General features: G+C 40.9%; 1 annotated feature.

Moving 5' to 3' along the window:
- Positions 8,659-8,828: an enhancer, noted in NCBI's record as "experimental_18559 CRE fragment used in MPRA reporter constructs". NCBI's record gives its function as "activates a minimal promoter by MPRAs in K562 erythroleukemia cells, with activity observed for both the introgressed and non-introgressed 11:102382081 variant alleles {active_cell/tissue: K562}" and the evidence as "EXISTENCE:reporter gene assay evidence [ECO:0000049][PMID:34662402]".

Here is a 13,389-nt window from a genome sequence, read left to right as displayed (position 1 = left end):
CCCTGTTCTCTTTAACTTTCTACAGACCAGTGCTACAGGCTTTAATGAGAATGTAGATGTTGCTGGAGATTTGCATAAATAGTGGAATTTTCTACTGTGCAAGGGTCATGAAATTGAACAAAACTAAAATTGGATATTATGGATATTATCCCCATCCTTCAAATCCTTTTTTTTTTTTTTGGAGGCAGTGTCATTGTTACCCAGGCTGGTGTACAGTGGCACGCGATCTCGGCTCACTGCAACCACCGCCTCGTGGGTTCAAGCGATTCTCCTGCCTCAGCCTCCCAAGTAGCTGGGATTATAGGCACATGCCACCATCCCTGGCTAATTTTTGTATTTTTAGTAGAGATGGGGTTTCACCCTATTGGCCAGGCTGGTCTTGAACTCCTGACCTCAAGTGATCCACCAGCCTCAGCCTCCCAAAGTGCTAGGATTGCAGGTGTGAGCCACCGCACCCAGCCCAAATCCTTTACTTATCCCCGATCAGGAATTTCTCATTGGCCACCTGCTTCTGCAGGCTGCAGCCTCTTGCCACCTGTCTCCCAACTCCTCTTGTCTTTAAACCCCACTCCTTCTCACTTCCCCAGAAACTCATTTTCCTGATGTCCTTCAGCTCAGGTCCTCCCTTTCCACACGTAGAAACCCACTGTGTTTCTCTGGGTGAAGCACTCTCTATGCAAGGTTTAACCTTTTAGCAGAACACGGAGCTGGCAAGGGCTTTGCTGTTTCAGCCTTCTCTTTCTTCCTCCTTCTCCACACTCCCAACACCCATGAATGGCTTTCTCTATAGGGAGATGAACAATTGAAATTTACTTTCTTACTGATAAAAATTATCCTTCCCACACATACCCTAAAAGCAGATCAATATCCCGAAATTCGGAACTATCCTGCAGCCTTAGGAAGCCATTCCAAGAATAGATCAAATGAGAGGAGAATCCACAATCCAGGCAAAAAATTAAGTATATGTGAACAAGCGTTCAAAGACCCTTTTAAAACATAAGGAAATATATAAATATGATGCTAGAATGAAAAGGAAGTTATGTCATTAAATTCAAGTTCTTCATTTTGTAGAAGACAAAACAGAGATTAAATGATTTCCCTAAGGTTCACAGTAAGCAAAAGTGGTGATTTAAGCATTTTGTTGTTTGTTTAGCTCTTTGTATTTTGATTTTAGACAGCAGGAGGCAGTATCTACCTTGCAGCTAAAGTGGATATCTATTGTTCTTACCTGCCCAGCATCCCATCACCCTACTTCTGGGGACAAGAAACTGCCTCTTCCCTTTGTGTACAATCTTCATGAGATGTCACATAGGTTGCCTCAAGCTGCCTGGGCTGAGAGAAGAGTACAGGACCCAAGCTTGGCCTATCAGACACTCTCCCAAAAACACTGGAGGGGTTATAGGTGGATTCATCCTGGCCATGGGGCTCTGGAGACACTGCCTAGTGAATCCTGCACCCAGACAGATTCCCTGAAGCTGCCCTGGGCCCTGTCCTTCTCATAGCTTAGGTGTAGGGCTTCTCTTCCAGATTTACAACTGACCGCACTGCCTTCCAGTACATTTTGTCTATTGCTTAAGTTATCCATAGTTAGTTCATTTCTGTGGTTTGCAAATTCTGGCACAGTAGCTTAGTTGGCTTTCCTAGGGTATCTGCACACACGGGCTCCGTTCTGTATTTCACCACATATTATCCTTCAATCTTGACAATGAAGTAAGCTCTAACAGAGCATAGAAGTAAATAAAATGTTCTTTTTCTGATCAAATAGCATAAAACTAACTGGTAAACAAAAATTTTTCCTAGCAAATAAGGACCCATTTTTTTAATTGTGGTAAAATACATGTAACATAAAATTTGCCATCTCAACCATTAAGTGTACAGTTCAGTATTGTTAAGTATATTCACATTGTTGCACAAGAGAAAAAGTCCTTAACCTCAGCACTATTTGCATTTTTGACTATATAATTCTTTGTTGTGTCCTATGTATTAAGAATACTAGGCCAGACATAGTGGCTCATGCCTATGATCCCAGCATTGTGGGAGGCTAAGGTGAGCAGATTGTGTGAGCCCAGATATTAAAGACCAGCCTGGGCAACATAGCAAAACCCTATCTCTACAAAAAATTTGACAATTAGCCAGGCGTGGTTGTACGTACCTGGGCTCCCAGCTACTTGGAAGGCTGAGGTGGGAGGGTTGCTTGAGCCCAGGAGGTCAGGGCTGCAGTGAGGCATGACTGTACCACTGCACTCCAGCCTGGGCAACAGAGCACGACCCTGTCTCAAAAGAAAAAAAAAGAATGCTTACAGTTAACCCTGGCCTCTATGCACTGATGCCAATAGAATATCCTCAGTTCTCTCAACCAAAAAAGTCTTCAAACAGTACCAAATATCCTCTAAGAGGAAAAATAGCCCCCAGTTGAGAACCACTGAGCTAAAGAGAATAAACTATTTCATTGTATTATACTTAGTATCCCTTCTACCATTTTCACCCAGGACCCTATCATACTCTAATTCTGTACCATCCCATGAGAAAGGAAAACCAGTAAAAGATTAAGGTGACATTGCCTGTTTTTGACACTTATTTGAGGAAAAGATTGTCATATTTTAAGAAATAAAAAACACCTGAATTCCAGCTGGGCACGTGGCTAACGCCTGTAATCACAACACTTTGGGAGGCTAAGACAGGTGGATCATTTGAGGTCAGGAGTTCAAGACCAGCCTGGCCAACATGGCAAAACCCCCTTTCTACTAAAGATACAAAAATTAGCCAGGTGTGATGGCAGGCACCTGTAATCTCAGCTACTTGGGAGACTAAGGCATGAGGATCACTTGAGCCCAGGAGGCAGAGGTTACAATGAACTGAGATCACGCCACTGCACTCCAGCCTAGGTGATAGAGCGACACCCTGTCTTAAAAGAAAAAAATCTGTATTCCAAAGCCAGGGTACTATGTATTTATAGAAGTCCATAAGACTTGGGTGTATTTTGTAAATTACTTGTTATTTTTCTGGTTTTAAAGTCAATAAACTCCAGTTTAAGAAAGAGGTCTTAGCACATGAATTTGTCTTCCCTCCCTTCAAAGATTTCTTTTAAGCAGTAGTGAAGGAATAAAACAGAGCAGGAGGAGGTCTGCAATGGACAAGGGATTTCAATTAATTTCTGTAAGATCTAATACAGCTAATAGACAAAACATACCAGCCTCAGCCTAGGATGTACAAAGAGGCCTACAGTGAAAATGGGAGTTAAAATTGTCCAACTCCTCAGAGGCTTTGAAATCTCAGTTAGAAGGTTTAATGAAGGCAGGGTGAAAAATGGTATTAGGCGATTAACTGTGTATGAGTACATGTGTATAAGACAATTAACTTCATTTCATCCCTTTAACAAAAATGGCAGAGAGCCAGATGTTCACTTCCAGGCAAAATATCAAAGGGTTCTTTGCTAAACAAGTTTTTTAAAAAAATTGAGAGAGAACAGGACATTTAAATTGGGTTCTGTGCCTCTGAACAAAATAACCATATTTTGGCTTTGAGGCTGGGAATAGGGAAGGCTCCATCCATCTGCTCATCCTAACTTAAATGTACGAGTGAACAAGAACATCCATGGACACCAGGCTCCTAGTCAGCTTTCTTGTTGCATTGTTCTGTGGTGGACAGGTCTAGGCAAATCTACCCACAAAGGCTGAGGAAGCTGTGGGGCTGAAGAAAGAGGCTGACAAATCCAGTTTCTCAGAAAGAAACATTTAATAGTGACTTACAAACAGAAGCCTTATCTTGGGCAGCCATAAGACGAGAGGGTGGATTCCTGCACCATTACCCGCAGAACCAGTACTCACATGCCATAGGGAAAGGGTATACATGCTTCAGAAGGGACAGGTAGGACAACCATAGCACAGTAACGTCAAGGTTGTTTTGACCAGAAATTTATGGTAAGTACCTTCTCTTACACAAGGAACAATAAATAAGCCGGAAATCTTGGAAGCCTTCACAGAACTGGGGTTAATGACAAGATAACATGGTGGATTAACATCCAAGATGGAATTGCTTTAGTCTCCACACCCCTTATTTAAATGAGATTGGGAACAAAATAACAACTCATTGAAAAAGGTGGTGATACCAAAAAAATTCACCCCAGAAAAAACAGAAATAATTTACAGAATAGAAGAGGTATGAGAAAAAAAAAATAGGACATTCTCACAGAAATTTGGGACGACATTACACACATAAAAAACAGTAACCAGCCAGGGGCGGTGGCTCACGTCTGCAATCTCAGCTCTTTGGGAGGCCAAGGTGGGCAGATCGCTTGAGGTCAGGAGTTCGAGACCAGCATGGCCAACATGATGAAACCCGTCTCTCCTAAAAATATAAAAGTTAGCCAGGCGTGGTGGCAGGTGCCTGTAATCCCAGCTACTTGGGAAACTGAGGGAGGAGAATCGCTTGGACCCAGGAGGAAGAGGTTGCAGTGAGCCGAGATCGTGTCACTGCACTCCAGCTTGGGAGACAGAGTGAGACTCCATCTCAAAAACAAAACAAAACAAAACAAAACAAAAGTAATACTAAGATTATATTAAAAATTATCAGAGAATAAGCTGAAACTTTTGAAAATTGAATTTATGATTGTCAAGAGAGAAGTATAATGTAAAAGAGTTGGAAGATAAAGAAAGCCACTCAGAATGAAGAGCTGAAAGACAAAAAAATGGAAAATAGGACAGAAAAAGGAAGAAGAAAAGATCAATTCAGGAGGTCCAATACCCAATTCTGTCAGCTTTGAAATATGTCAACTTAACTAAGCTAAACTTTATTTCCCAGAATTCCTTTCTCTATGTTTCTTGTTAGGGCTGGCCACAAGAAAAATCTACATGGAATTTGGACCATGGAAGTAAAGTAATACTTGCTCTACCAAGGTTGATATGAGTCTGGTGCTGTTGCAGCTCATGCACAATTTCGTGGTTCTGCTCATTCACATTGTGAGCACAAAACACTGCAGGCCCAGGGCTCCAGCTCCCACATTATCTCTTCCTTCAACTTCTCCAACTCCTGAGTTAGGCCTGAGTGTGGATCCACACAATAATACTAGTATCTTCTATGGGGCACACACAGAAGCAAGGTTAGAGACCTAGCAACAAGGAGAAGCCATCACAAGCACCTGTGATAGAAGGAGAAAAGTTCCAGCTTGTTACTCATTTCACAGGTCCCAGGTGTCCTGCTCTCCCCACTTTACTTCTATCTTTTAACTGCTAACACCTGTCCTGTAACTTCAAGTTCAGCACCAGATGCAGAAGAAACAGCCAAATCAAGATCGTTTTACCAGCTCCCACAACGGTATGAGTATAAATCCCTATAAGTCCCTTATTTTACATCATTCTTAGTGGTTCTGCTCCTCTCATTGAACCTTGTCTGCTACAACAGCCAATAAGATTTCCAAAAATGAAGAATAGACAAAATAAAGAATAGACAAAATAAAGAAAAGAAAATTATCAAAGAAATAATTGGACATTTTCCAGTCTTGAGAAGGGTGAATGGTTTGGAGAAAAACGAATCTTCAAACGAAAGAGCCAACATCACGTTAAAATTTTAGAACACCAAGAATAAAGAGATTTTAACCATGCCCCAAGATTTTTTTTTAAAAAAAAAAAGGACTCCAACAAAATAGAATTAAACTGACATCAGATTTCTCATCAGCAAAAATGATTCTAAGCTAGACTGAATTAAGGTCTTCAAAACCCTGAGGATGAGTTATTTTTTTCCTAGAATTCTATATATACCCAGCCAAACCATCTATCCAGTGTGGTTGTGGGTTGAATTGTGTCCCCAAAAAGACAAGTCGAAGTGCTTATCCCTTGTACCTGTGAAAATGGGACCTTATTTAGAAATGGGGTGTTTGCAGAGGTAATCAAGTTAAAATGAGGCCATACTGAAGTGGAGTGGGCCCTAAATCCAATGACTGTTGTCCTAAGAAAGCCATGTAAAGACAGAAGAACACAGAGACACACAAGGAAAACGCCAGGCAGTAACAGAGGCAGAAGCTGGAGTGATGCAACTACAAGCCAAAGAACGCCAAGGACTGCTGGCAACCACCCAAAGCTAGGAGAGAGACATGGAACAGATTCTCCCTCAGATACCAACTTGGCTGACACCTTACTTTTGACCTCACCTTCGGAACTGTGAGACTTATTTTAAGCCATACAATTTATGGTACCTCTTTATGTCAGCCCTATAAAACTGATATAAGTGTGAAGCCAACATAAACTCAACTTGTACGACAGGAGTTCAGAAAGTCTATCCCTTGTGTACATTTTCTGAGATAACTAATTTAAAATATATTGCAAACACAAAGGATGAAATCCAAGAAAGATGATGTGAGATAGGGAAATGATGGAAAAAGAATCTCTGAGTGATAGCTGTGCTCCAGGGCTAGAAAGCAACCAGTCCAAATTACAACAGTAAGTCAATGGGACCTAAAAAAAAAAGATGGTTTTTAAGAAAAAATGAAATAGCTACTAAACAATACATGAAATGGTGAGTGAAAATCTGTAAAATATATAGGCTGTGGTGAAGGGACATAAACTTCATCTCCCAATGGAGAAAAATGACAATCAGATATCCAAGGGAAAATGAGGAATTATAATAAAAATCATGATCCAAATATAAGGCCACAAACTCAAACGTGACAGGAGTAATTCTCAAAGAGTAATCAGAGTAATTACTCAAAGAGTAATCAGAGAAGTTGGAGAAAGGATAGCACATTTGAACTGAAGGGAAAATTCTCCTGTGAGAGGCAGGGGTCATGTCGGAACCAGAGAGAAGAAGTATGGTTGTAGCTCACTGCTCAGCCCTGAGCTGAATAATGTTGACACGGTGATTAATTTAAATGCTCTTTATTGGTTGTTTAGTATTCATAATGAGCACACTGATAAAGCTCAGGCAATTTAATGATGGATAGAGAATGAAAAAGTTGTATCAATCATGAAAATGTAACAATATGGGAAGTTGGGAGGTGAAGGGAAGGGAGAGATGCAGAGAATGCCAGAGGCTTTGAGAGCCTCCTATTACAGGGTGGGGAATGGAGAGATGCCCCTGAAACTAATGGAACAAGAAGCAAAGATTTACATAGATCATGTAAAGTTACAAGCAAAACCAATAATGATATAACTCTCAAAATTGGGGCAGAAAGGAAGGACAGCAGAGAGTAGAACTAGTGAGCAAATTCTCTGAGTAGAGAACACCTAACACTGATAAAGAAATAGTGATATAGGCTGGGTGTGGTGGCCCATGACTGTAATCCCAGAACTTTGGGAGGTCAAAGCGGGAGAATCACTTGAGCCGGGGACTCATTTCCAAGTCATCAGTTCCCTTCTCTAACAGTCTTTCTTCTCTAATAAGTATGTCTGACCTATAGCAGGCCTTCATGCCAACTGTGTACTATCCCATCTCCTGTCACAGCTGTTTGGAGCAGGGGCAGACACCTGACCCACGCAGGACCAACATGGCAACGTGGTGAAACCACATCTCCACATAAAATTTAAAAATTATGGCCGCGTGTGGTGGCTCACGCCTGTAATCCCAGCAGTTTGGGAAGCCAAGGCAGGTGGATCACTTGAGGTCAGGAGTTCAAGACCAGCCTGGCCCACATGGCGAAACACCATCTCTACTAAAAATACAAAAATTAGCTGGGCATGGTGGCAGGTGCCTGTAATCCTAGCTACTCAGGAGGCTGAGGCAGGAGAATCGCTTGAACCTGGGAGGCAGAGGTTGCAGTGAGTCAAGATCGCACCACTGCACTCCAGCCTGAGGTATAGAGCAAGAACCTGTCTCAAAAAACAAACTGACCAGATAGATAGATAGATAGATAGATATATAGATAGATGATAGATAGATACATATAGGTAGATGATAGATGATAGATAGATAGGTAGGTAGATAGATAGATGATAGATAGATAGATAGATAGATAGATAGATAGATAGATAGATAATTAGCCTGGCATGGTGGCACGCACTGTAGTCCCAGCTACTTGGGCGGCTTTAGTGGGAGGATCACTTGAGCCCATGAGGTCAAGGAGGCTGCAGTGAGCCGTCATCCCACCATAGCAATCTAGCCTGGGTGACAGAATGAGCTCCTGTCTAAAAAAAGAGAAAGAAAGAAAAGAAATAGTGATGTAAGCATATTATTCAATAACATGGAGGTAACTATTTTTAGACAACTAAAAATAAAAGAAAATGTATTACTTCTGGTGGGGGAAGGAAAAAGAGAAGTTGCTTTTCCTTCTGGGAACACTTTTCCCTGTGGGTTTCATTTTCTAATTTATATAAAAGTGTTGTTTTTATTAAAAATTAAATAAATGCAATATATGTCCATGGGAAAATTTTTGAAAATAAAAATGCATACAAAGAGGAAAAATAAAATAATTTAAAATCAAACAGAAATAATTACTGTTGACATTTTGAGATATTTTATTTATAAAAAATGTGAGGAAACAAGAAAGAGGAAGGCAAGAGTGTTGCTCATATGGTATAATTACAGGTGTGCTAAGGAGAGACTTTGATATCCAATGCTTCCTCCACTTCTAAGCAAATGCCTGAAAATTTATTCCACAATTGCAAACACATTTTTGAAAAAAAAAAAAGGAAAGAAGTAATATATAAACACAAATTTATACCAAGAAGAAAATAACTGATACTGATCCTCTCCTGAGGCCACATGAATGGGATGAAATTATGATTCTCTGAATGGGGCAGAAAAGACAAAAAGATCTTACATGGAAATGACCAAGACAAATATCATCCAATTTATGCATTTTCTTAAGGCTGAATTTAAAATACTTTAGGGCTGCTAAAATTATAAACTAGTCTTTCTGTGATTGCTGTTCCAGGAGACGAAATCATCTTTGATGTGCCAGGAGATTAAATCTTTTCTGATTTCCATATATGTCTCCTTTTATCATTGCCTAGCTAAACTCTCCTCACCCTCTCAAAACCCACTTTTATTCTATGGTTAATCTGTGAATTTAGGATGCTGGAGAAATGGGTGAATTTCCACAATTATTCAGCACATTGCCAATTTCACAGATTGTAAAACATACATTTGTACATGTTTACACTGCTAAAATAAGATGGCATCTTACAATAGCTGCTGGCAGTTCTCCTGAAGAGGATTTGGTTTTGTTTATGCCAAACATATGGGGCTCTATCAACCTGACATCACTTGATATTAAATCATTTGCTTGAGATTGTTTAGGCCACACTGTTTGTGTGAATTCCATCAGCAAACCTGTAGGAGTGCCAGCTTAGCATTCATACATTAAGGCATTATGATGTTTTTTCCTCCAGTTCCTCAAACTACAATTGACATAGTCATTTGTCCTTGCTGGGTTTTCGTTTGTTTGTTTTTTAAACACAGTCTTGCTCTGTTGCCCAGACTGGAGTGCAGTGGCATGATCTCGACTCAGGGCAACCTCTGCCTCCTGGGTTCAAGCAATTCTCCTGCCTCAGCCTCCTGAGTAGCTAGGATAACAGGCGTGTACCACCACGCCAGGCTAATTTTTGTATTTTTAGTAGAGATGGGGTTTCGCCATGCTGGCCAGGCTGGGCCTTGCTGTATTTTTGGTGTAGCAGGTTTATTTCTCATTTATCTTTGTACCACAAGATTAGTCATTGGTGTCTGAGCTTCATGTCAGTGTTTCCTATCAGACTCTACTTCTTTAACATCTCTTCTTTTTTAATGGCACACAAAGAAATTGTTCATCCTACAATAGATGATATTTTATTTCTTGGAAATGTGCTAATTGGAATACCAAGTTTAGATACAGTACATGAAAAGACACCAAAGTTTATACAACAATCTGTTCTTATTTTAAATGCCAATTCTCCAGAACTGTTGGTTGCCTGTCAGTCTCTTAAGAACAAACATAAATAACTCACTTTCAAGTCATCAGCCCCCTTCTCTGACAGTCTTTCTTCCCTGAGGAGTATCCTGACCTATAGCAGGCCTTCATGCCAGCTGTATACTATCCCAACTCCTGCCGCAGCTGTTGGGAGCAGGGGCAGACACCTGACCCAGGCAGGACCAACCAGGTGCTTTCTCCATAGGGAATTGTGGAATTCCATTCACTTACTCATTCAATATGTACTGATGGTTTACCATTGTCTTAGTCTGTTTTGTGTTGCTATGCAGAAATACCTGAGGTTGGGCAATTTATGAAGAAAATAGGTTTTGGCCAAGCCAGGCACAGTGGCTCATGCCTGTAATCCCAGCACTTTGGAAGGCCAAGATGGGCAAATTACTTCAGGTCAGGAGTTCAAGATTAGTCTGGCCAACATGGCAAAACCTTGTCTCTACTGAAAATACAAAAATTAGCCAGATGCGGTGATGCACACCTGTAATCCCAGCTACTTGGGAGGCTGAGGCAGGAGAATCACTTGAACCTGGGAGGCAGGGGTTGCAGTGAGCCGAGATAGTGCCACTTCACTCCAGCCTGGGTGACAGAGTGATTCTCCCTCTCAAAAAAAAACAAAAAGAGATTTATTTACCCCATAGTTGTGCAGGCTATACAAAAAGCATGGCGCCAGCATCTGGTTGGCTTCTGGTGAGGGTTTTTGTGCTAAGTCTTAACACGATGGAGAAGGTCAAACAGGAAGCAGGTGTGTGTGAAGCAGGGCCCAAAACTGAGGGACATCATGGTTTTATAACAACCTACTCTCAAGGGAAATAATCCGTTCCCCTGTGAACCAATCCAGTCTCCCAAGAACAACAACTCATTCACTACTGCAAGAACAGCACCAAGCCCTTCAAAAGGAATCTGCCTCCATCACCCAAACATCTTCCACTAGGCCCCACTTCCTGACACCACCACACTGGGGGTTAAATTTCAACATGAGATTTAGTGGGGACAATCTGTATCCAAACCATAGCAACCATTTTCCAGGCCCTGTTCTAACCTGAAAGACACCATCCTGAACAGAGCAAGCCCTTGTATGCACATAGACCCCACAAAGTAACCACAGTGAATAGAGAGGCCTAGAGACTGGGAGCTCTGAGCTGAGTCTCGCTTGTGGTGAGATCCCACAGGAAAGATCCCTATATTTCAAATAAGCTGCTGAAGATCCCAGAAATACTGTAAAACTTTTCTTTCCCACGCCCTGGTTGTTCATTGGTTTCTTTAGGATTTCATAAAGCATTCTAATGTTCTTCCAATAAATTATTTTTTGGCCATGCTAGCACAAAAACAAATGAATCTAACTATAAAGGGAAAAAATAGAATGTAGTAGTATTCCTCTCCTTGTTGGTGTTATTCACCATTTTTGCCATGAAACTTTCCAGAAAAATAGAGTCCAACAATGCAGAATGAAGACCAGATCAAAGGTGACTGAAGTGGTATATAAAAAAGTAAGTTAATTATTTTTTTCTCCCAGTGCCAACCTAGTGTGAAGCTAACCACAGCTGTTCTCACATCGTTGTTGTTGTTGTTGTTAAGTTGTTGTTGTTGTTGTTAATGTAAAAATAATCATATGAAACAGAAAAAATATTGAACTATGTCTGAAGTTCTGTTTTGATCCTAATTATGCTCTAACTAGTAGGGAGGACTTGGGCTTTCTTCTCTTAGCTACGGATCATCATTTATTTTAATTCCCTTCCTTTATAAAGCAAGACTTACGATCCTTCTAGTTCTAAAATTGAACGATCAACTAAAAAGATACTATTTGTTGATAATCTTTTATGATTTTAGAATCCTTTACATGTCAAAATATTTTGTTTCACCCTGGAGTAAATTTACGAATGCTACCAATTCTATTATGAAAAGCAAGGATATGAAGGAAAACGTGTGTTATCAGAATCACTCATTGGGGCTCTACAAGGGAAACAACCTAGCTTACAGAGTTTAAAACTGATATAAAAGGAGCCACTTCTCTTCACCTGGCTACTTCTGGAGTTCTTCACCTCTCAGTCTATATGTCTTGACGTCCAGAATACCTTCACTGATCTCACACTCACCTAAACCTGCTTAGATGCTCCTCTTAAGAGCTGCCTCGGTAACTAACATTTTACCCCTCACATTCATCACTTACCTCATTGAATTAACAATCTTCTGTTTAATTAAGGAGTCCACTCTAGATTGTCAGCTTCTTAATGGAATTGGATATATATATATGTGTAAAAACAGTTATTTCGGAAATTAAATGAAAGCTTCACTAACATAAACTTCCATTAAGGTTATATTCAAATTATTAAATCATTCAAGTCACTCCCAAAATACAGAAAATTGAGTTATCCACAGTACATAATTAGATCAATGCCTAAGAAATTAAGGAAAAAGAGAACTTTAAAAAGAACCACAGGTGAGGATTCTAGGAAGATGGCAGAGTTGGAACTACCAGAAATCTAGCTCCTCACCTAGATGACAATTGCACTGGAAGAATCTGTCTGATGTAACTATGTTAGAACTCTGGAGTCAATGCAAGGCTTCCATCTTCCAGGGGACAGCTTAGATAGTAAATTGTAGTGAATTTTGGTGAATTTCAGCTCTTAATACAGTAGCGGCTACCCATCCCCCACTCTAAGCCCAGTGGCAGGCAATTGTGCACCTGTTCCTGGAGCAGCTTTATATAATACAACTTTCATACAACTTTGAGAGCCAGGGTGGACGAACAGGACCCTGTCCTGCAATTATTAGGTATTTGTGCTCTGATCTCCAGATTGCTGCTTCTGATCACACAAAGAGGTTATGGCCATTGTTTTTGCATCTCCCTCACTGTTGCAAGCTCTCCCCAACTGACTGAAATAACTTCCAGGGGATTTAAACGGCCAGCACTTTTTCCTCCTTCATTTTTCTCTTTTTCCCCTTTTGGGACCAGACACTGAAGACACAACCTTAACAGACAACTGCATATACAAGGGAAATCAGAAAGCCATCATGCATGCTCTAGGGTAGGCTCAGGCTCAGAAAAGACCTGAGAAGACCTTAAGTTTATACTTCATGCTGATCCTTGGCACAGAGACCACCTATAAGAATACAAAAAAAGGCCGAGGGTGGTGGCTCACGCCTGTAATCCCAGCACTTTAGGAGGCCGAGGCAGGTGGATCACGAGGTCAGGAGATCGAGACCATCCTGGCTGACAAGGTGAAACCCCGTCTCTACTAAAAATACAAAACAATTAGCTGGGCGTGGTGGCGGGCGCCTGTGGTCCCAGCTACTCGGGAGGCTGAGGCAGGAGAATGGCGTGAACCTGGGAGGCAGAGCTTGCAGTGAGCCGAGATCACGCCACTGCACTCCAGCCTGGGCGACAGAGCGAGACTCCGTCTCAAAAAAAAAAAAAAAAAAGAATACAAAAAAAAAAAAGGCAAGGCAAACCCTAGGGATGGGAGAGAATCTGACTTCCAGAATTACCATATCATTAGATT

This window comes from Homo sapiens, chromosome 11 (genome assembly GCF_000001405.40).
Source record: "Homo sapiens chromosome 11, GRCh38.p14 Primary Assembly".
In the NCBI taxonomy this organism is placed as follows: domain Eukaryota; kingdom Metazoa; phylum Chordata; class Mammalia; order Primates; family Hominidae; genus Homo; species Homo sapiens.
Note: the sequence above shows the minus strand (reverse complement) of the source record. Positions and strands in the feature narration are given on the sequence as shown.